Here is a 22,804-nt window from a genome sequence, read left to right as displayed (position 1 = left end):
TATTTCTCCTTCTCCTTCTCCTCCTCCTCCTCCTCCTCCTCTTCTTCTTCTTCTTCCTCTCACCCCCATTTTACAAGTAAGAAAACTGGGCACAGAGAGGTTAAGTCATGCAGCTAGCAAATGGCAGAGCTGGGCTAGAACACAGGCGATCTAGTTCTAGGAGTCTCACATTTAACCAGAACACGCTTTTTCCTTCCCTGAACCTTGGAAGGCCCTCGTGGTGGGGTTGGGGGGCAGCCTGCCACCCTCACTTTTGGGAGCCCCTCTGTTTGTCTGCATCTGAGCACTGCCACTCTCTATTTGATTCTCTGGGACTTCACCTCTTTCTTTGAAAGTATGTGTGTGTTTGTGTGTATGTGTGTGTGGGGGGTGTTTGTATAAGAGAGAAACTGCAGCTGACCAGTGATGACAGAAGCCTCTGGACATCAAAGTGGGCAGAGCCCTGGATGGATGGGCTGGAGGCAGGCCTGGGTCCCATTAGGCTAATTCCTCTCAAGGTTGGAAGAGGCCAGGGCGGGAACTTCTGAGAACATGGAGAACAAGTCCTTTCATACGACCTCCCTTTGAGCAGGCCTTGGGGTGGGACCGGGGTCGGGTGGGTGGAGGGTGGGGAGTGTGTGGAGAGGTGAGGCCACAGTCAGGCTGGGCAAACAGATTGGGCAGCGGCTGTGAGCACAGAGCGCCCATTGTGTACCCAGAGCTCTGCTTTCAATAATCTTCTCGGAAGAATGTTTCATTGAGCGCCAGAGAAAGGAGCCATTGAAATGCCAGGGCTGGGCCCTATGAAGGGTTAAAGACAAGGAGGCCATGGGTACCTGGGCTCTTGCCTATCCTGGCTCAAAGACCTGATATAGGGATCCTGATCACTAAGACAAGGGCACTCAGTGAGACCACCCAGAGGTCTGGAAGCGAGGGTCAGAGGGGGAGATGTATGTCTGCCCCAGAAAGGCTAAAGTAGGTGCCCCAGTATCAAGGAGGAAAACCCCTGTCTTCCCAGCACCATTTTGCCCAAGTAATATCCAAGAAGATGTTAGATACCTTCTCAGATACCCCTTCAGCCTGCCTTCTGTGGAGAGCAACCCATCGGGCAGACGTGTCTCTGCGTGGACTTCCTGCGTGGACCTCCTGCGTGGACCCATACCACGGGTCCTGCAATCCATTCTCCACAATGCAGCCGTATGGCTTCCTTAAACACCTGTGGCCTTTCCATTAATCAGTAATTAATTATAATGAATGATGCTGAAGCAGAGAGTGTGGGAGTTACGGTAAGAGCCAGTGGTCACTAAACTAGGTGACCAAGGGAACATGTAGAGTTTTCTCTTCCAAATAGAAAGACCTGCTCATTAGAGGGATATGGCCTGGCTGTCAGAGAGGGCACCAGAGTGGGATTCTCTGCTTCCACACTGAGTCCCACGTGTCTTTGCCAGCTACTGAAGCTTGTGGGGCTTGAAGTGTGGGTAACACCATGCTGGCCTCAGTGGGCTGCACAGAGGAGGCAGAAGGTGGATGAGAGGGGCCTGCCACTGGGGAGGGAGAGCACTCTTGTTGGGCAGCTGAGAATGACCTCCGGCACCACCATGGAACCCGCTGAAGATGTTGCTGCCTCACTGAGCCTGTGTCTGCAGAGAGGATGTTCTGCAACTGAAGCTGACCTTGCACTATGAACCGTTCATATTAACCATTTTGGATGGAAACCTTAAAAAACAGATGATGCCTTTCTGGCTTTCTTAAAAAGAGATCCTCAACTCTTAAAAAGAGATCTAAACTCACTTCTGTGCGGAACGGTGATTTGGCGATGTTTCTGGGTCTGTTCAGGTGAATATAGTTCTTGGCTCCTGCACCGATAAACCCCAAACTCCCAGGCTTTTGGAATTCATCAGTTTGAATTTTTGTTTATTCTTTTGTTTCTCCTTAATTTTTCACTGTGAAACATGTAAGCATATTTTACTATAAAATAGGCAAGTGTCTCACTTTCTTATATATTCCATCTGAGCTGCTTCTAATATTCTCGGACTGGGAAAGGAAATGATTGGCCTTATAAGAATTGTGAATGAAGTAAGAGTCAGTAGACTTAAGAGTTAGGAAGGCCTGAGGAGCTCTCCTCTGAGTTAAGTGATTGAACTCTGTGATATTTTGAGTGTTCAGAGGCCTTCTATGTTTTCTTTTGGTCTTTGATTTGATCCTGCCTAGACAAATTGACCCCTAGAGAGAGGACGACAGCATGCATAATTTATGCATAAGGTCTTTGCCAAGGGCAATAAATCAGAAGGAAATAATATTGGTACTTAGATAATTTTAGTTCAAAGATGGCCAAACATACACATATACCTAGCCACTAACATGCACACACACACACACACACATACACACGAATAGCAATGACAGACAAAGCCACAAAACCAACTAACCCAGTTTTTCACTTTTATATCTCCGCTCCCTAAAAAGTTGTCTGGGAACAAATGATTAAAATCTTAACATTTTCAAATGGGAAAGAGCTTTCACAGTCCTTTCATTTTGCTTCCCTCTTTTTAGTTCAGGAATCTCTTCTATTATCTCCTGGATAGACAGGCACTTTAACCCCCTTCTTGCATGGATCCAGTAATGGGAAGCTCAGTACTTTCTGAAGTCTGATTTCATCAATGGAAATCTGTGACAGGAAGTAACAAAACTACACCCTGCCACATCTGAAATGCATTTTGTATGCAGATATTAGGCTTTCTGTAGTGTTGTAATGTGGATGTCGTTTGGGGGTTAAGGGAGGAGATCACATCTGTGAGAATGGGGGGACAGATCTTTCCTGTGTGGGGTGGACATTCCTCTTGTCAATTGTCTTGGAAACAGCTGAGTTCTGAGACAGAAACTGAAAAGGCTAGTTTAGCTTGCTGGAGAGGGAATGTCTGTGTCTCTAAGTCTTAATTCTTGGGCCTGAACTTGAGACATGTTGGAGTTTTGAGAGTCTGTGTAGGTTGGGGTAGGGCTGATGGACATTGTCCCAGGGAAGACGGCAGGTAAGCACCTTGTCTTGTAGAGAACACAAAGGGAAGATAAGTGAGCCAATCTTGAAAGCTATATGACCACGATTCACATTACACTTTGTGTTTATTCCCTCCTTGTCATCCTTGAGCCTTTGGAAATGTCTGGTTTAAATGTTGCAGCCTGGCCTAGCTGTGTAATGGCATCACTGGAATTGCTGAGGGTCAGTGTTTATTTCCTTAGAATGATAGAGGGAGGATAGTGCTCTCTGAGGCCTCTGTGGATTTTGGTGATTATGGAGACTCTTAAGAAAAAAGTGAGTATTGGGGAACAAGAGTTGGGCCCTAAGTCCACCCACTCCCCTCCACATGGTGATTCACCAATCACTGTCATCCTTTTATTAAGCAGGTGGCCGGATTTCTTACAAAAGCAATCCCTTAAATTGGTCCGAAATCTGTTTTCCTGTAACTTTCACCCACAGGACTTAGTCCTTCCTCTCAAAAGCACAGAGAACAATCATCGTAACCATTCACATTCACCAAGTGCTTACTGTGTGCTGGGCACTTTACTGAGCATTGTAGTAGATCTTATATATACTATTATCCCATTTTACAGATGAAGAAATTGAGGCTAAGGGAGGTGAAATAACTTGTGCAAGGCCAGACCCCAAATGAGTGGCAGGATTTGAACTCAAATAGTCTGATAGCAGAGCCCACTGTCTTGAATTCTGAAATACTACTTGTCTCAGTGACAGCCCCACAGAGGTCTGCCGCCTGTGACCTTTCCTCCCTGGGCCTTTTTTGATCCAGGTGGAACCCCCACCCCATCCCCTTGCTGCTTCTCTTTGTGCTTGGAGTAGAAGGGAGGCAGCCCTGCCCAGTTCCTTTTGCCCTGGGGCAATAGAAAGAATGCAAAACCCTAGTCCACCTGACCTCTGGTGACTTGTTCCACTTCGACCCCCCAGGACAGACAGCCTTGTGGAAGCCTCTGGAAGCACCATTTTAGCAGCCTTCCCCTCAGGAGGCTGTATTTTTCCTGTCTGTCCTCAACATGTCTTCTGCCAGAACAACAAGCTCAGTTTTCCCTTCTGATAAATCTGGTCACCCTAAATATGGGGCTTTGAGCAAATGGGAGCGGCTGGCCCCACGCAGCCCTCATTTCAAAATGCAGATTCACACGGGCTGCTATTTTGGAGGTCTGGTTTCTTTCCCCACACGCAGTGGTTTTAAGTAAGAGGGAAGGGATCATGACAGAATCTTGGCAGGGGAAAGATGCTAGGAGAGAAGATGCACCTGGGCAGTCTTTGCTTCCCAAAGTCCCCAAACACTGGCCCTTCAAGAAGCTGGTTGGGGGGTGGGGGGAGCAGGAAAGAGGGTCCATGGTAACATAACACTGGGAAATACAGCCTAACCAGCCCCTCCTGCAGATCAGCAGTGTGCATGTTAAACATTTGAAATCCTAGAAGTAAAGAAGCCTAACTGGTTTTGTTTAGCCCAGTTTTTCCATTTAAAAATGTAGCCTAGTAAAATTTTGCAAAACAATGATGCAGAGCAGAGCTTGCAAACCGGCACCGATGGTCTGATATATTCCTGGGAGAGGTCTGATTTGGCCTACAAAGTGCTTAAATTTTGCTTTCAATTAGTCACTAACATTTCACAATTGGAATAGTTCTCCTAATAGATAAAGAGGGTATTCCTCTTGAAAAATCAGAAGATCTGGAAACACTGGTCCGTATTCTTGCCTGACTGTAGTCAGCTGGAAGCCAGGCTGTGGTTTTTAACTTGCTGCAGCCCCTGTGTCTCCTTAGGGCAAGACAACTATCTCTTGCTCTACTCATTTATGATGCTCATCGGGTTCCAGAGTCCCCCAAGCTTGCCTTCTCTGGTGTGGAGGTTTCCTTGGGTAGGCTGGCCTAGGTGACCATTGGGGCCCATTCATCCATTCACTCATGCAACATATACTGATTGAGCTTATACTGTGTGCTGCACCCTGTGGATACGAGATGGATAAAACAGCCCCTGCCCTCTGGATTCCAGCGCTGGCATTCTAAGATTCTAGTTGGGAACTGCAGAACGAGGAGGAGGGAGGGGTTGAGGAGAGGGGAGCTGGCAAGGCTACAACCAAGCTTCCTGACTTGCAGCCGCGGGGGCTTGCCAAAGTGCTTGCCATTCTCCATCGCTTTCTCTACCGGCTCACCGAAGGGAGCCGCCACTCCAACAGCCACGGTGAGCCTTAGAGACATAGCCACTGACTTGTTCTGTGACTTAGACGCGTTGAGGCTCATCTCCGGGCCTCAGTTTCTCCATCTGTAGAATGACCCGGTTGGACTAGGAAATGATGGGCTTTCCTTCCAGGGCTGGCACTCAGAGAGGCTAAGACTCCATGATCGAGGAATGTCTGACCCAGCCATTCTGGAGCTGTTCCATCGAATTCCAAGCAGCCCCACTCCCTCCTTTCCCCATCCCGGTCAGGGGCGGGCGCTGGAGCCAGCAGGCCGAGAGGGCCGGGGCTTCCCGCCCGGGAGGTGGAGCCGCTGCTCTGCGTCCCGCCCCTCCACCTGGGGCTCGGCCCGGCCCGGCAGATGTTACAACTTTTTCGAATTCTCTCCCGCCGTGTCCCCTCGACCCGCCCAACTTGTGCCTCCCTCCCCTTCCCCTCTGGGGTCCTGCCCACCTCCCTGCAGGGAGCTGGGCTGTTTTAAGGACTCCGGGTGGGGCGAGAGGCCGGGAAAGCAGAGGAGAGAGAAATTAGGAGGCGGGAGAAATCCAGGGCAAGAAGGAAGAGGGGAGTCAGAGGATGGTAGAGAGCACTTTTTGGAAGCTGCCACGCCGCGTCTCAGGCTGGCCGGGCTGAGCTGGGGAAGAGGGAGCAAAGGCGGCGCAGGGCCTGCGCTTAGGCAGCGGGAGGCAGCTCGGCGCGGGCCTGACCTCCCCAGAGCGCCCCGCTGCGGCCGAGCAGATCCGGCCCAGCCGTCCGGCAGCCAGTCCCGGACCAGACACTGGACCGTCCCCGGGGGGCGCTGAACTCCCTCGCAGCATCCGAGCCGGCGGGCCGGTGGTGCGCCCTGGGCGCGCGAGGTGGTGAGGCCCCAGGAGCCCGGCGCGCCGGGACGCGCGGGCCGGCTTGGCGATGCACACCCTCACTGGCTTCTCCCTGGTCAGCCTGCTCAGCTTCGGCTACCTGTCCTGGGACTGGGCCAAGCCGAGCTTCGTGGCCGACGGGCCCGGGGAGGCTGGCGAGCAGCCCTCGGCCGCTCCGCCCCAGCCTCCCCACATCATCTTCATCCTCACGGACGACCAAGGCTACCACGACGTGGGCTACCATGGTTCAGATATCGAGACCCCTACGCTGGACAGGCTGGCGGCCAAGGGGGTCAAGTTGGAGAATTATTACATCCAGCCCATCTGCACGCCTTCGCGGAGCCAGCTCCTCACTGGCAGGTAGGCGTGGCTCAAGGCCCCGGGGCTGGGCATCTAAACCCCAAATCAACCCAGTTGATAGATTTCTCCTGCCAGTACCACCCCATGCTGGGATCTGGGAAATCTCCTGTTGGCTGTGTAATCATTAGTAAGTCCCTCGCCCTCTCTAGGCCTCAATTACCCTTCCTTTACACTGAATGGGCTTCATCATCTTTGAGGTCTTCTTGCTTTGATGTTCCAGGACACTCACATTCCACACAACGTGGAGACATCTGGTCATCCCTTTGTTAGAGGAACATGGCAGCCTCTGACATTTACTGCTGCTTCTATTTATGGACCCCGAGACCCTGAGCAAGTCATTTAATTTCTCTAAGCCTCAGTTTTCTTGTCCATAAAATGGAGCAAAGAACAGTTTTCATCTTGAAAAGGAGTGGCAAAGTTGGAATGAGTTGTGTGTAACCTGCTTGGCTGTCAATATATGGCAGCCTCTATGTCTCCTGAGGGATTCAGGTCCCCATACTGCTTGATGAATACATTGGGAGAAGACCAAGGAATTGATAGGTGGAAGAGAAAGACACATAGGATACCATGACCTGTGTAGCCTTAGGGTGGTTACTTCATTTCTCTGAGCCTCTGTTTTTTCATCTGCAAAATCCTCCCAAGTTGGCTGGGAGCCCCAAGTAGACATGCTGCTTCCTCCACAAGGAAATGTCCACAGGCGAGGCAGCAGGATTACAGGATTAAAAGAGCAGGGAAACAGGAGGTGGGGGTATGGAAGGCAAACTCTGGCCACTTAGGAGAAAATCCTTTGGCAGTGCTGAAGCTAATTCTCCTTGGATGGGGTCCAAGGCATGCTTTCTCCCAAGTTCCACCCAAGAGCCACTAATGTGATCTCAGGAACCAGAAGCCTTAGTCTCCCTGTTTCTTAGTCTCACTATTTCTTGGATGGGAGAAATTGAGGCAAGGACTCAGGGAGGGCCTAGTTTGGTGCCCGTGCCCAACTTCAGGGTCTGTGGGAGATAGGATTGAGAGGCCAGGTGTTTGGCGGGGGTCCCGGAGCTGGGCATCAAATGGCGTCCTTTGTTCCTTCGATCTGGCACCCAGCGTTTAGATCCAGGAATCAGAAGGAGAACAGAAGAAAGAAGGAGGGGTGTGGGGTGTGTATGGGTTGGGGTGGTGGTGCAGGTTAGTGGTGTAGTGGTGAAGACCAATGTTGACCTGCAGAAGAGGGTGGAGGAGTCTGCATTCCCAAGAGTTATACACAACTTAGCGTTTCTGTCCTAAGAGGTGACTTTTGGTTTAAGTAGCGGAATGAGCAGACAGCAGGAGGGCAGTGCTCCAGTCCCCTGATCTGCGAAGCTAACTGAAGGTGGCCGGCCAGTGCCTGCCCTCCCCCACCCTGCAGCTGGCTCCATCTCATTGATGCTTACAGCCCTCGTTAGTGTTTGTTAACACATCCAGTTGTGTTTTGTGACACTGGAGAGAGGCAAAGTTTCTCTTGTGACTCACTTGCAGGTGGGCTTTGGTGACTCTTAGCTGGCCCATCCGCTTTACAAGCCAGCGCTCCACAGCACCCCACCTCTATGAAGACCGGCCCAGTTGGGACTCAGGGCCCTAGGGTGCTTCTCATATCAAATCCAATAATTTATTAGCTTGATTGAGGCCTGGAGAGGCCGTTATCACCAAAAGATTTTGAGCATGACTTGAGTGGACCCAGGTTCAAAGCTTAGCTCCACTGCTTGTCAGCTCTCTGAACTTGGGTCATTGCTGCACTTTCGGGGGACTTGGTTTTATCATCTGTAGAATGGGGGTGGTAATAGACTTCCCTGTAGGTTTTTAAAATGAGAGTTAAATGAGATAATGTATGTGTATGGCACATAGTGTTAAAAATGGCAGTAGTAGCTAATTAGAGCTAACAACAATAACAGCTTTAAGATAAGGAAACCAAAACAGAAACTCACTCCTGTGCTCTGGTTAAAGATGTCAGGTATTCAGGGCTTGGATTAATTTGGATGCCTGGAGGTGAGAAAAAGGTGTGGGATTTTAACATACTTGTGAAGTTCCAGGCTTCTTATTTACTCTGGGACTTTCAAGACTTGAGTAAAGGCAAGACACCATAAGCAGATCACATGGGAGCCTTGACCACAGAAGGGGGAAGATGGGATATGAATGGATAAATGAGGAATTCAGGATTTGCCTAACCATTTACTCCTGCCTCAGGGTGATAGCCTGGATCAAGGGGTCATATGAGCTCACAGGCAGGCACTTGGGAGCTGGTCTTAAAAAACTGGGAAACTAGACGAGTCTTAGAGATTTCCCATTTCAACCAACTCCTATACGGGAGCAAACTGAGGCCCCCATGTGGGAAGAGATACGGCAGCCCAGTTTGCTGAAAAAGAGTCCCTGCTTAGACTCTGCTTGGATTTATGTTCAAGTCCTGGCTCTGTTCCTGACCACCGAGCGACCTCAGTTAAGGCCCTTCCCCTTCCCTTAAAAAGACCTTAGGTCCTTTTTAAGATGAGGTGAGTAAACTAGAGAATGAATTGGGTCCCTTCTGGCTCTAAAACCCTCTTAAGTGTCATTCATTCATTCATTTCATAAATAATTGAGTGCTCTTTGAACATCACTTGGGTGCTAGGAATAGAAGGTTGAATAAAGGACAGTCTCATCACATGTCACTGGGCGCAAGAGCATGTGCAGACGAGTATAATCCCACGGCCAAGTAAGAAAACGATGGTGTGTACTAAATGCTAGGGGAACCCAGAAGCAAAAGTGACTAATTCTTTGGGAGAGTTATGAAAGACTTTATAGCATGGATAACATTTGGACTGAGCTTTGAAGAGTGAGTAAGAGTTTGCCTGGGAAAGCAGGGCTTGCTCTAGGCCCCAGTGCAAGTTAATAGCTTAGAGCTTAGGGATTCCGAAGTCTGGAGCCAGACTGCTTGGGTTATAAATCCCACTCCAACTACTAGCCGTGTGAGTCACCGGGCAACTAATTTAATTTACCAAGCCTCAGTTCCCTTATTTGGAAAATGGGAACAATAATATGTACCTCTGAATTTGTGGTGAGGATTAAGTAAGATAATTCACATAAGAGGATTAGTGTAATGCCAAGCTCACAGTGAGTGCTCGGTATTAGCTATTATTATTGTCATTATTACCCTGGGTTCAACTTTTATCTCTCCAACTTCCTAGCTGTGTGATCTTGGGTGAGTGGCTTAGCCATTCTGAGCTTCAATCTCCTCATCTGTAAAACGACAATATGATCTACTTCCAGTGATTTTGAGGATTCGATGAGATAATGCATTTGAGGTGCTTAGCATAGTAGATAGTACCTGGTGGTTACTGTTATTATTTTTGCTGGTAGTGCTGGGACCACAGCCCACCTCACAGTGGTACTGGGGACTGGATGGCCAGAGCAATGGTCTGTAGCTTACCTGTGCCTTCTGTGCCTTCCCCTCCTCCCCACCAGGTACCAGATCCACACAGGACTCCAGCATTCCATCATCCGCCCACAGCAGCCCAACTGCCTGCCCCTGGACCAGGTGACACTGCCACAGAAGCTGCAGGAGGCAGGTTATTCCACCCATATGGTGGGCAAGTGGCACCTGGGCTTCTACCGGAAGGAGTGTCTGCCCACCCGTCGGGGCTTCGACACCTTCCTGGGCTCGCTCACGGGCAATGTGGACTATTACACCTATGACAACTGTGATGGCCCAGGCGTGTGCGGCTTCGACCTGCACGAGGGTGAGAATGTGGCCTGGGGGCTCAGCGGCCAGTACTCCACTATGCTTTATGCCCAGCGCGCCAGCCATATCCTGGCCAGCCACAGCCCTCAGCGTCCCCTCTTCCTCTATGTGGCCTTCCAGGCAGTACACACACCCCTGCAGTCCCCTCGTGAGTACCTGTACCGCTACCGCACCATGGGCAATGTGGCCCGGCGGAAGTACGCGGCCATGGTGACCTGCATGGATGAGGCTGTGCGCAACATCACCTGGGCCCTCAAGCGCTACGGTTTCTACAACAACAGTGTCATCATCTTCTCCAGTGACAATGGTGGCCAGACTTTCTCGGGGGGCAGCAACTGGCCGCTCCGAGGACGCAAGGGCACTTATTGGGAAGGTGGCGTGCGGGGCCTAGGCTTTGTCCACAGTCCCCTGCTCAAGCGAAAGCAACGGACAAGCCGGGCACTGATGCACATCACTGACTGGTACCCGACCCTGGTGGGTCTGGCAGGTGGTACCACCTCAGCAGCCGATGGGCTAGATGGCTACGACGTGTGGCCGGCCATCAGCGAGGGCCGGGCCTCACCACGCACGGAGATCCTGCACAACATTGACCCACTCTACAACCATGCCCAGCATGGCTCCCTGGAGGGCGGCTTTGGCATCTGGAACACCGCCGTGCAGGCTGCCATCCGCGTGGGTGAGTGGAAGCTGCTGACAGGAGACCCCGGCTATGGCGATTGGATCCCACCGCAGACACTGGCCACCTTCCCGGGTAGCTGGTGGAACCTGGAACGAATGGCCAGTGTCCGCCAGGCCGTGTGGCTCTTCAACATCAGTGCTGACCCTTATGAACGGGAGGACCTGGCTGGCCAGCGGCCTGATGTGGTCCGCACCCTGCTGGCTCGCCTGGCCGAATATAACCGCACAGCCATCCCGGTACGCTACCCAGCTGAGAACCCCCGGGCTCATCCTGACTTTAATGGGGGTGCTTGGGGGCCCTGGGCCAGTGATGAGGAAGAGGAGGAAGAGGAAGGGAGGGCTCGAAGCTTCTCCCGGGGTCGTCGCAAGAAAAAATGCAAGATTTGCAAGCTTCGATCCTTTTTCCGTAAACTCAACACCAGGCTAATGTCCCAACGGATCTGATGGTGGGGAGGGAGAAAACTGTCCTTTAGAGGATCTTCCCCACTCCGGCTTGGCCCTGCTGTTTCTCAGGGAGAAGCCTGTCACATCTCCATCTACAGGGAGTTGGAGGGTGTAGAGTCCCTTGGTTGAACAGGGTAGGGAGCCTGGATAGGAGTGGGTGGGAATAAACCAGACTGGGATGCCTGTGTCTCAGTCCTGCCTCCTCACGGACTTGCTCTGTGACCTCAGGTGACCCACATGAGCTTTTAGCCTCAGTTTCCTCATCTGTAAAATGAGCTCTAATGACTTTGTGACTCTTTGGTGTGGCCCTGGAGCCTGGGGCCACGGTGGAGTTCCTGGCCGGCCTTGCCACTTGACAACTCCTTTAAGGCTTCCCCCTTAACACGGGATCCCTGTGGTGGTGTTTGGGAGTTGCCTGGAGGCAACTCCAAGCCTGGCCCCCAGCTGAAGCATGGCAATCTGGCTGCTCTCTACAGGGACCCCCAAGCGCTGTGGGTGGAGGGCAGGGGTCGGGGGGGTTGACCTTCTTGGGTCTTCACATGGCCTAGGCCAGTCCTCCGGTCAGACTGGTGTCAGGCACCGTGGTGCAAAATTCCTCTTCTGGCCCCTCCAGTACCCAGAGAAACTGGCTGGGCCATTAACTGCTGCAGCACCAAGGGTGGTAGAAAGAGCTGTGAAGAGCCCCCAAACCAGTACCAGGACACCTGGGTTCTCCTGTGACCTGGGGCACAGTTCTTGCCCTCTAGGCCTTGATTTCCCCACCTGCAAGTGGGGATGCCAGCCCTGGCTCTGCCTCCTTCATGAGGCTCTGGAAGACTGGCCAAGGTTGTGGAGGAGCTTGTGAACTTGATTAAAGTGTCGTAACATGGAAGTGAGGGATGCAGTGCTGTCTGACTATGAGCATGTGTGGGTGTGTGCATGTGTGTCCTGGGGGCAGGTATGAGCTCACGGTCGGCCGAGTGAACAGGAGAGGAGGTGGACAGCCTGGCTAGGCGGTGGGGGAATGGGAGTCCTGCCACAGACCCACTATGTGACCTCAGGCACATCCCTGACCCTCTCTGGGCCTCAACATCCCACTATGTTCAGTGATGATCTAAGAGCACTTCCCATTTGGCCATTCTGGGCTAGTGTGCATGTGTGTGTGTTGGGGTGGGGGGCAGGCTGAGTGGTAGCGAGGAGGCCACGGGTGTTGCAGAGCCCGCCTGCCGCCTAGCGCGCCTCCATCCGCACACTGCGTTCTGCATATCTCCCTTCAGGTTCCAGTCGGCGCAGTGTGTGTAGGCGAAAGCCCTGCTGTGAATTTTTAAAATAGTTATTTTTGTCACTGGCAAAGGAGGCCTGTTAGGACTCATCAGCTTGTGGATGAGCAGGATGGGTGGGGTGGGGTGGGTGCGGTATGTGTGGGGGTTCAGGTATTGGTTACAGAGTTCCATCCCCACTGCAGATGTGGCTGAGTCCAGGAGTGAGGGTCTGGCCTGAGGCTGTTGGGTGGAGGTGACCATTCATGCTCTAAGCCCCTTCCTCCTGGCCCTATTCTTTTTACCCCTTATCACCTCCCCCAACTAGCATCTTTCCCTGCCTCTATGATGTTGATTCCCAGCTGTGTCGTGGGGCAGGAGCCAGGATAGGCAGAGGCCTCTGGATTCCAGTGACCTCCAGCATTTCAGTCTGCTCAGGAGGGAGGCTCTGAAGAAGTAAGTCACCTGTTAGGGCGGTGGCCCAGGCCTGACACACCCTGGGAGATGAGCTGTCCGTAGTTCGCCCACTCCTCAGGGTACTCTAGCTCTGCTGGGTGCTTGTCCCAGCTGTGTGGGTGGGGCCTTTCCAGGGTGGCATGGAGCCAAGGCTTCCCTGCCACTCCGGGCTTGCACGAGTTGTATGGAGGCCTCTCCTGTGCCTGCTGAGTCAGCCCTGCCCGAGGCTTACCCTCCAGCTCCAGCCCCCACTTCTCTCCCAGGGCCCCTGCCCTTTGGCACCGCAAGTGCAGGACCGTGAATGGCCCTTTCTGCTGTCCCCTAATCACCGAGGCTTACTGCCTGTGACCAACCTAAACCAAGAAAGACTAGCTGGGGATGGGGCTGGCACCTGTTCCTGGTGCCCTGAGAAGGAGACTTGACCCCAGGTCTTGGTCCAGTCTCAAATCCAGCCCAGAGCTTGCCTAGCTGAGTCCTACCCAACCCAGCGCTCAGCAAACAGCCCGGTGGCCCCACGCAAGCTTGAGCCTGCAACCTGGTCTAGAGGAGCTGGCGGCTGGCCTAGGCCTGAGATTGGTGGAGGGTCTTGGGTGCCCCAGAGCACTCAAGCACTACGATAACAGGCTCAGCCTGTGGTGACTTCTGCTCTTCCCAGCAATCAGCATGGCTCCTGCCAGCCCCCTCCCATCTCCTGTGGCCCAAGTTTCCTCCAGCCGGGGCACCTGGGTCTGGACTCTGTGCCAGGCCGCCAACTGGCACTGCCAGGCAGGTGCTCGTACCATTTGAGCACCTGTGCTTGTGGGGAGGGAAGGGAGGGCAGATCAGAGGCAGCTCCGGTCCCTCGGGCCACAGATCTGGGGAAGTGGAGCCCAGAGATGCCTGGTGAGACCCCCTGTTTCTTCCTTGGCTGCACCAGATGGCAGCTGATCTGCCAGCTGTAGGGGCCAGAGCCAGGGGGCAGCCTGTCCAAGCTGGGCCCTGCCAGTAGAGTCCTGGGCTCTGGTAACCCATTCCCCAAGGGCCAAGTGATAGCCCCACACCTGGATGGAGGGCCAGTGCTCTGGGCTCCATCTTTCTCAGGAGGAAGTGGAGGTTCTACTGGGGAGACCTCCTGCAAGCTCTTCCAGGACTCGAACTCAGGTCCTCTAACTGCAAGGAGTGCTATGCAGCCATCGGCCCAGTAGCCATTGTCCTCTGTCCCATGGCTCTCTGCTTCACTCTCCCCTGCAAGAGTGCCTCCTGTGTGGGAGACCTCAGGGACAGTTCTGCTCCCTGATCCCTGACTTCCCCCACTTCTTCATGTAGGCCTAGCCTTACTTACTGCAATGAATGAACCCAATCTCCCTCCACCCAGACCCTCAGCAGGACCATTTCTCTCTTGGCCCACTTTCCACCAATTCTGCCCCCCATGCTCACTGCCCTTAGTGGGACAGGCCCTGTGGGGACCCTTTGGATGGCACACTTTCTGTGGTGCCTGCCCAGGCCCTGCAGGACCCTGGGGCACTTGGGCATATGTGTGTGGGCTGTGGAAGGTGGGATTTGAGTCAGCTGTCACAATGCCACTGGGGCTACAATCACCCATGCAGGAACCCAGCCCTGGTCACTTTTCATCCCTTCTGTCTCTGTGGAGCACTGCCTGTGTTCACGTGCCAATCCCTATTCTGGCATGTCAGGACTGGGTTCAGCAACCTCCAGGGCTCCCACCCCTGGCGACCAGCCCATAGCATGGAGGCCTGCTCTCGAATACCACACGCGTGTTGCAGATGGGGGCACACGTGCTGCCTCTCGTGTCTGCTTTGGCCCTGGGGAGTGGGGAGTTTGGCAGGAACAGTCCCCCTCCTGCAATCATCGGCTCATTCTCTCAGCGCCACAGAGGCACGGCTGGCTCCTCAGTGCCCGCCACCACCGGGCACAGCTGCTAGCCTCGCGGGCTCAGGGGAGGTGGTGAATTAGCAGTCATGCCTTCTCAGCAGAGTGGCTATTACCCTCAGGAAGGTGGGGGGTGCCTGTCCGAGGCAGTGCCCACACCGCTGAGCTAGGCTCTGGAAGGCTCAGAGGGGTGTGTGTGTGTGCTCATGTGTAAGACTTTCAGAGGGGACTTCTTCCTCTTCTCCCTCCTCTTCTTCTCTCTTCTGCCTCTCCAGCCATCTCTCTGCTATCTGGATCCTGCAGCCCTCAACTTGCCCATCCCCCAGGACCGCATGCACAGTGCAGGCCAGCAGGGGAGGGAGAGAAGAGTGACAGAAAGAGAGGGAGCTGGAAACCAGAAAGGAAGTAAAAAAGATGAGAAAGACGGAGAACTGAGAAGGAAGGATGCAAAAGAGGGAACAGGAAAAATGAGGGAGAGGGGAAGGCAAGAGGAGAGAAGAAAGGAGAGTGGAAAGGAGAGATGGAAGTAGGGAAGAAAGAGATGACAGGAGCGGGGCTGTGCTGGCCCTGCTCCCAGCAGCCACAGAGGCTGCCCCCGTGGTCCACATCACATACAGGGAGAGAGGTGGCCATCTTCCTGCCTCCATTCCTTCACACCTTCCTCTGAGGGACCTGATGCCAGGGTCTTCCCCATGTGCTCTGCTCACTTCTGAGCATGCTCCATTTCATCAGTGGGAATCGGGAGAGGAAACAGGGGTCAGGCCAGCACCCAGCCACGCAGGACTGTCCCAGTTCAGAACATTAGATTTCCATTAATACAGCCTCATAATCTCACAGCATAGTTGCTTTTTTGTTTTACTGTGAATTTTTAAAACAGCATCATCATTCCTTTGGCACCCGATGAGCTGGAGAGCCTTGTGGTTCCTCTCCTTCTAGCTCTAGTTCTTTGTTCTACAGAAATTGCTGCAAACTAGGCTTAGACAAGGTGATTTCCAAACCATGAGCTAAACTCCAGTGCAGACTAAGGGAACAGTGCCCTGAAGTGCTGGGACTCAAGATGATGGTGTGTGCTTCCGTGATTCAGGGAGTGGTGTGTGAGGGGAGAGGACTTTTGAGTTTCTTGATTATAATTTCCCATTTATTGAGCATTTATAGTGTCAGCCACTGTGCTTGTCTCATTTAATCTACAGAACAGCCTGGAGGTAGGGAATATTATTGACCCAATTATGCAGATGAAGACACAGAGGCACGGAGAAGTTAGGATATTCATCCAAAATCACATAGCCCGTAAGTCGTGGAGTCACCCTAACTACTAAGCAACACTGCCTCTCCTGTCCCTGTGCAATGGCAGGTGGCCTTGGTGGTCACTAAGGGCTCTTCCAGCACTTTCTTGTGTGGAAGCCATCCCCTCCTGGGGGACAGGCTAGAGGGTCTGGGACAGGAGGGTGGCAGTGCAGCCCTCCCCCACCTCCCCACATAGGCCTGTAGCTTGGCCACCGTGTTCTGTGCCCTGCCTGCTGCCCACTGGCTGTGCGGCCCCCAGGCATAGGCCTCTCCACTCTGCCTCTGAATTGCAACGTTGGCGGCAGAAGCGGGAAGCATATTGTGCGCAGAAACAAAACTGAGTGGTTTTCCCTTTTCCCAAAGGTGGTAATGGTGCAATTAGTGGCTAAGCCATTACCCCCCTCCTCCCTTGCTCACTTCCCCTCTTCCCCTCTGCCACCCTCCCTCTCCCACCCTCCCTCTCCTCTCCTGGGAACAGCGGCTGAATGGGTGAGCTCACCCTTTATTCTCCCCCACAGCCCACTCCCAGGAAGAAGGGCAGAATGGGAGGGTTATCCAGATGTCTCCAGGGGGCCCCTGCAAGTAGGGTAGTGAGTCAGGGACTTCATGGGGTTGGAGAATACCAACAAGCAGATAACATGTCCTGCAAGTGAGAGGACTAGCAAGGCAATGTGGAGGTTCAGAGCGGGTGGGCTAGAATCCCTGAGGGTCTGGATGCCTGGATCCTTTTATCCAACCCATGCTCGCTGGGGGCAGGTGCTGGCATGAAGCCTCTGCCCATCAAGCTGCGAAATGGGCCAAGGCACCCTTTTTCCTCAGTGGAGAGGGGAAGGGGTATGCAGGGTCTGAGATGCCAAGCCCAAGCTAGAGTGATGGGGTGGTCACGGGCCAGCTTTAAACCTTCATTTTCCTCCTCTAGAGCCTAGAAAGAGGCCTCCTATTTACATAGTTCCCAAAGGCCTTCACAGCCCTTAGCCCACTCCATCTCCACAGCCTTCCCCTGCAGGGCATCTTCATTCCCCTGTTGTGTAGAAAAGGAGCTGGAGGCTCAGAGAGGGTGAGTGACTTGCCCGTGATCACTCAGCTAATAAATGTCCAAAGGCCGGGCATGGTGCCTCACACCTGTAATCCTAGCACTTTGGGAGGCTGAGGCAGGTGGATTGCCTGAGCTCAGGAGTTTGAGACCAGCCTGGGTAACATGGTGAAACCTTGTCTGTACTAAAACACAAAAAATTAGCCAGACGTGGTGGTGTGCGCCTGTAGTCCCAGCTACTTGGGAGGCTGAGGCAGGAGAATCACTTGAACCCAGGAGACGGAGGCTTCAGTGAGCCGAGCTTGCACCACTGTACTCCAGCCTGGGTGACAGAGTAAGACTCTGTCTCCAAAATAAATAAATAAATAAATAAATAATATAAATAATAAATGTCCAGGAATCAGAGCTCAAACTCAGATCCTTAGTCTTAAACTCCAGTCCCTTTTCTTCCTAACTCCAAGACCTTGGAGTAAGATCTTGTGGCTGTAGGTATGGCTGATGCCCTGAAGAGTTGAAGTTGGCAGGGAAGGTGCCCAGAAAATTTTGGATTGAAGATTTCATGGCAAGTCTCTGGCCAGTGGCCTAGCCCGGGTAAGCCATGCTATGCTCACCTCCCCACAGCCCCCTCTCGCCTTTTTTTTTTTTTTTTTTTTTACCTTGACTGGAAGCACAAGCAGAAACTGGGACATGAGCACCAGGAGACCAGATTTCCATGGTCCCGTTGGGGGCATGGGGTTGGGGAGAGGTTGCAGAGGAGGGCTCTGGAGGGGAGCAACTGTCACAGCTGTGAGAGGTGGGGGTGAGCAGGCAGTCAGGGCTGTTCCCTCCAGAATCCTGGGGTGTCCTCTGCACTTCTGCGCCAAGCTGGAGTGCTAGTGTGATGGACAAGGTGGTAAGAGAGCTGAAAGAGCACGAGCATAACAAGAAAGACAGAGGCAGAAGCAAAAAAAAAAAAAAAAAAAAAACAGAGGGCAACAGAGAGACAGTTACAGAGACTACAGTGATCCACAGAGGGAGAGCCATCCCTGTGAATTAGCCATCATTTCCCTGTAAACCTTAGAACCCAGCTGTTGCCAGGGCAACGGGGCAATACCTGTCTCTCTAGAGATGAAGTTGCCAGGGTAACTGCATCCTGTCATTCGTTCCTGGGGACCATCCGGAATGCGGCACCCACTGGCTGTTACCATGGCAACTGCCTTTTTGCCCCACTTAATCCCATCCCGTCTGCTACAAGGGCCCCACAGTTGGAGGTGGGGGAGGTGGGAAGAGAAAAGATCACTTGTGGACAAAGTTTGCTCTATTCCACCTCCTCCAGGCCCTCCTTGGGTCCATCACCCCAGGGGTGCTGGGTCCATCCCACCCCCAGGCCCACACAGGCTTGCAGTATTGTGTGCGGTATGGTCAGGGCGTCCGAGAGCAGGTTTCGCAGTGGAAGGCAGGCAGGTGTTGGGGAGGCAGTTACCGGGGCAACGGGAACAGGGCGTTTTGGAGGTGGTTGCCATGGGGACCTGGATGCTGACGAAGGCTCGCGAGGCTGTGAGCAGCCACAGTGCCCTGCTCAGAAGCCCCGGGCTCGTCAGTCAAACCGGTTCTCTGTTTGCACTCGGCAGCACGGGCAGGCAAGTGGTCCCTAGGTTCGGGAGCAGAGCAGCAGCGCCTCAGTCCTGGTCCCCCAGTCCCAAGCCTCACCTGCCTGCCCAGCGCCAGGATGGCCACCATCACCTGCACCCGCTTCACGGAAGAGTACCAGCTCTTCGAGGAATTGGGCAAGTGAGTTGTGCCTCAGGAAGTCCTGGAAGGCATGGGGGGCGGGGAGGTCAGGGTCTCTAGTGGGGTGTGTGTGCCTGCAGTGCTTGGGGAGCATTCCTTGTACACAGATGAAGGCAGGCTGCATGGGTTTGGGGGCACCTGCCTGTGTACAGAGTGTCCAGAGTCGGGCGTGGGTATGTTTGTGGGTGCACAGATGTGCCAAGCTAGCCAGGCCAGTGTGTATGTAGGGATGAAGGGTTGACAGTGTATGCCAGTGCACACACATACACACAAAATGCACACAAGTACACACAACCTGGATACACACAGATTCTTAGAGACTTAGGGTTAAAAAGGGATTTTCCTAGTCAGCTGGGTCCAAAGCTGGAATTCCTTCTCTAGTTTTGCTTGAGGTGGCCATCCGCCCTCCACTTAGATACCTCCAGTGACAGAGAATTCACCAGCTCCCGGTAGTTCTTCCTGACTTTAGACACCCACAGTGACTGTACAGAGTGGCCAACTTCTCCCTCCCTACCTCCCCTTTCTCAGCTCCTGCCAGGAGTGAGGGCGTCAGTACAGTAGGGGTTAATATCTGAGCATGACAGGCTTCCCGGGTGTTGGGAGGTGGGGAGAGGAAATCAGGAAAGCTGTAGCGGGGAGCACCGCTGTTTCAGGGGCTAGGGTATGAAGGGTGCAGTGGCTCTGGACAAGCAAAGTTGCCCAGCCCAGAGCTCATTTTCTGCCCTGATGACTGCTGTGTAGAGAAGGATGGGAGGATGAGGAAAGAGGGGAGGCCCTTGTGGGTGGCCCAGTAGGGTGTGGAGTGTCAGGGAGGGATTCCTGGATGTCCCCAGCTGGGTTTCTGGAGGATCCTGGGATGGGTCAAGGGTTGGGTGCATTTTGGAGGCAGAGTTTGCCTTGTGGGCAAAGGAGCACCGATGCCCTGGTTGGTTTCTGCTGAGGCAGCAGGAGCACGGGGGGAGGGGCCCTGGAGGCAGGTGTGTATTGGTGTGAGTTCTGAATGTGTGTGTACTAGTGTGCATTTTGAGGAGTGATGTGTGTGGCTGTAGAAGGGCTTTTGAGGGAAATTGCTTGTGACACTGGGGTACGCTGGTGTGCCCTGCCAGGGTGTGCAAGCATTCATGCATGTGCACCAGGAAGAGGTGCTTCGTGTGTAAGGCCTGAAAATGCAAGTGTGCCTTGCAAGGGTGCATGTGTGTGAGTATTACAAGAGTGCTGTTGGCTGGGTTGAATGAGAACAAGGGTGTAAACATGACTCATTAAATGTGCACATGTATGGCAGGTTAGAGCTGTGTGCACATAGGAAGGCACATGTGTGTGAGGTCTAGGGGTGTGTGAGGATGCTCATATGAGATGCGGACACAATGGTGTTCCTGTGAGGTCTTGATATGCACATCTACGTGAAGACTGGGGTCATGCACACAGGATGATGTACGTGTGTGTGCACACGCATGTGTGTGCATGTGTGAGGCCTGGGCTCACAGGGTTATGTGGGAGTATGGGTGTTATAGGCATGTGTGAGCTCATGCTGGTGTCTGCATATGTGTGGGAGGTGGCCCTGTGACTGTATACAGGAAGGCTGCTTGCACACACACACACACACACACACACACACACACACACACAGAGGCTATCCTACAGGCATGCACCACCTCCCTTGAGCACATATACCCCCATGTGTACGTGTGTTCACTCTTATCTGCAGACTTTCAGCTTTTCTGAATGTGCTTTTTTTGCGGGTAGGGGCAGGAACAAAATGTTTGGGGCTGCTCTGGAGGACTGAGGCTGTCTACAAACTTGTGCAGGGACCCCTCTCCAGGTGTTTTCCAGTGCTCGCCTAGAACCCAAGAATTCCCTGATTAGCCATGAAGCTGCCTTTCAGGGAGTGACCAAGACTGGGTCCTGGCAGGACTGCGTCATGAGTACAGTGAGATGGAGTTGAGATGTGACTCAAGTGCTCAAAGTGAAAATAAAAGTGATGTTTTGCCCCAAGAGGAGATGGATATCATTAAGACTGGGTTTTGTGGGGGCAACTTGGTAGAGAGACCCTTCGTGAGCCTTCACAGAGAATTTCAGGGGCAAGGGAGCCCTGGTGTGGCCATGGCAGGAAAACCGAGGGTAGCAGGCATAGCTAGGCCTTGTTTAATCAATTTCAGACTTCTTCCTTCCAGAACCATCAGACTGCTCTTAACCTTTTTTAGGTCACATATTCCTTCAGGAATCTGATGAAAGTCTAAATCTACGTTCCCCAGAAAAACGCACAAACCTACGAAATGTTGCATGCAATGTCAGGAGCTTGCAGGGACATCGGGAAGACTGTGTATGAGCCTAAGTTTGCAGAAGCTTGTGTTAGAGACAAGGGGATAAAGTGGACTGATTCCGCACCCCTGATGTCTGTGTTAAAAAGTCCAGACCACATCATTGAGGAGCCTGGGGCTCCTGCTCTCCACAGCAGCTTCAGTCTGAGCATCCAGTGGTGCAGGGAGGGGCAGTGCCCTGCGTAGCCACTAGGGACACAGGCGCTGTCCCTCATCACCCATAGCTCTGTGACACCAGGCAGGCTATGCTACCTCTTTACCCCCACCTGTAGTCTGGAGATAAAAAGGGCTGTGAGCATTCAATGAGATGGTGCATGTAGAGATGCAGCCTCGAGCCTGGCACATGACAGGCCCCCAGGGCCGATTGCTACTGGGGTGACTGTTGTTGTTCTCAAAGGCTGGGCAAGGCTGAAAGTGAGGAATGGGATCTGCTTGTACCTTTTGTCTGGAGTTGGCCCATCCGGGGCTGGGAGGAGGTTGACCAAACCGTGCTTCCCCCCTGGCTGGCCTCTTCTGTGGGAGGAAGCTATGAGGGTACCTGCAGGGCCCATCCTTCAATTGATGATCCACCGTCCCTGCCAGCTGGGACACTGCAGTCACCACCCAAAAGCTAAGCCCCCGTTCCAGAACCCACTTCAGATCACTAGCAGGGTGACTGGAAAAGGCAGCCAGGTTGGCCCTAAAAGGGCACATGGGAGCCTTTGGGTCTCCTTCAAGGCGTTGGGCTGCCCAGCAGGAGAGGAGGGCAAATCCCTCTGGAGGGCTTCTGGCATCCTGCCCAGTGAGGTCTGGCTCAGGACTGCAGGCCTTTGAGGAGCCCCGGATAGGGCTGGCTATGGATGTGAGAGTAGCTGCTCTTCTCCAGCCCTGGTGGGCAGCCCTCTGGGAACCTGTGACTGGGGCCAGGGCCCCAGGCAGGGCTACTGGAGCCTCTTGATGCTACTCGACTGCAGGTTCCATTGAAGCATATGAATTCAGATGAGTCAAGAACTTGATTCCGGTCTCCTAGAAGGTTGGGGTGGGGCTGTCTCTTGGGATCCAGAGATGAGCTCATCCCTCTTCGTTTGACCCAATCCTCTTCTCTCCTGAGGATGAGAGAAATAAAAGCCCAGATCCTAGCGGCACCGAAGCTTGCAGGAGGCGTGCTGCACCAGCTCCAGGGTTCAGTGTGGACTGAAGTGGTCAGGCCAGAGCTCCCAGCATACCCAGCCTTCTCCAAAGACCTCTCTGAGAAAGGGAAGAATGCTGGTTATTGGGCAAAGGGGTTGCCACGGATGCAGCAGATGGCCCAGGGAAGGGGTCACGTTCAAGGAAGTGGAAAACGAGCCTTTTCCAGCCATTGGCATTCTCCGGGCTTCTGATCCTACCCCCAGGAGAGGTTAGAAAGGTAGAAAGTTGCCCTGCAGCCTGTGTCATCACTGGGCTGTATAGGAAGAGTCTCTGAAGGAGATTTTACTTGAGAGAGGGAGAGAGAGGGAGGAAGAGAGACTAGAGAGAGAGCTCAGCCCACTCTTTTCTCTCTAGAAACAGAGATCTGAAATTGACTCAAGGCAGAGCTGGGGTTGGAGAAGGGG

At 53.2% G+C, this 22,804-nt stretch overlaps 2 protein-coding genes across 6 annotated transcripts in view, besides 6 other annotated features; both read left to right on the top strand.

The window, feature by feature from the left end:
• Window positions 4,699–5,238: an enhancer, noted in NCBI's record as "H3K4me1 hESC enhancer chr5:149682801-149683340 (GRCh37/hg19 assembly coordinates)". NCBI's record gives its function as "activates a minimal SCP1, AML or CMV promoter by ChIP-STARR-seq in naive H9 embryonic stem cells {active_cell/tissue: H9 hESC(naive)}" and the evidence as "EXISTENCE:reporter gene assay evidence [ECO:0000049][PMID:30033119]".
• Window positions 5,239–5,779: an enhancer, noted in NCBI's record as "H3K27ac-H3K4me1 hESC enhancer chr5:149682260-149682800 (GRCh37/hg19 assembly coordinates)". NCBI's record gives its function as "activates a minimal SCP1, AML or CMV promoter by ChIP-STARR-seq in naive H9 embryonic stem cells {active_cell/tissue: H9 hESC(naive)}" and the evidence as "EXISTENCE:reporter gene assay evidence [ECO:0000049][PMID:30033119]".
• Window positions 5,571–12,133, top strand: ARSI (arylsulfatase family member I). Its single transcript, NM_001012301.4, has 2 exons — window positions 5,571–6,413; window positions 9,864–12,133. The coding sequence occupies exons 1-2, from the start codon at window positions 6,103–6,105 to the stop codon at window positions 11,260–11,262; spliced, it is 1,710 nt and encodes a 569-aa protein (NP_001012301.1). The 5' UTR covers window positions 5,571–6,102; the 3' UTR covers window positions 11,263–12,133.
• Window positions 5,780–6,320: an enhancer, noted in NCBI's record as "H3K27ac-H3K4me1 hESC enhancer chr5:149681719-149682259 (GRCh37/hg19 assembly coordinates)". NCBI's record gives its function as "activates a minimal SCP1, AML or CMV promoter by ChIP-STARR-seq in primed H9 embryonic stem cells {active_cell/tissue: H9 hESC(primed)}" and the evidence as "EXISTENCE:reporter gene assay evidence [ECO:0000049][PMID:30033119]".
• Window positions 14,359–14,939: an enhancer, noted in NCBI's record as "H3K4me1 hESC enhancer chr5:149673100-149673680 (GRCh37/hg19 assembly coordinates)". NCBI's record gives its function as "activates a minimal SCP1, AML or CMV promoter by ChIP-STARR-seq in naive H9 embryonic stem cells {active_cell/tissue: H9 hESC(naive)}" and the evidence as "EXISTENCE:reporter gene assay evidence [ECO:0000049][PMID:30033119]".
• Window positions 14,940–15,521: an enhancer, noted in NCBI's record as "H3K4me1 hESC enhancer chr5:149672518-149673099 (GRCh37/hg19 assembly coordinates)". NCBI's record gives its function as "activates a minimal SCP1, AML or CMV promoter by ChIP-STARR-seq in naive H9 embryonic stem cells {active_cell/tissue: H9 hESC(naive)}" and the evidence as "EXISTENCE:reporter gene assay evidence [ECO:0000049][PMID:30033119]".
• CAMK2A (calcium/calmodulin dependent protein kinase II alpha) overlaps window positions 18,346–22,804 on the top strand; it is a 70,640-nt gene continuing 66,181 nt past the window's right edge. For 3 of the 5 annotated variants that reach the window (NM_171825.3, NM_001369025.2, NM_015981.4), the window contains exon 1: window positions 18,703–18,912. In NM_171825.3, coding sequence (NP_741960.1) covers window positions 18,851–18,912 — 62 coding nt within the window. In that variant the 5' untranslated portion in view covers window positions 18,703–18,850. Of the gene's footprint in view, window positions 18,582–18,702; window positions 18,913–22,804 lie in introns of those variants that run through there. The other 2 variants (NM_001363990.1, NM_001363989.1) reach the window with 1 other exon arrangement.
• Window positions 21,341–21,450: a silencer, noted in NCBI's record as "silent region_16506". NCBI's record gives its function as "represses an Ori minimal core promoter by ATAC-STARR-seq in GM12878 lymphoblastoid cells {active_cell/tissue: GM12878}" and the evidence as "EXISTENCE:reporter gene assay evidence [ECO:0000049][PMID:35858748]".

The sequence above is a fragment of the Homo sapiens genome, chromosome 5 (genome assembly GCF_000001405.40).
Source record: "Homo sapiens chromosome 5, GRCh38.p14 Primary Assembly".
In the NCBI taxonomy this organism is placed as follows: domain Eukaryota; kingdom Metazoa; phylum Chordata; class Mammalia; order Primates; family Hominidae; genus Homo; species Homo sapiens.
This window is presented reverse-complemented; position numbering and strand designations above follow the sequence as displayed.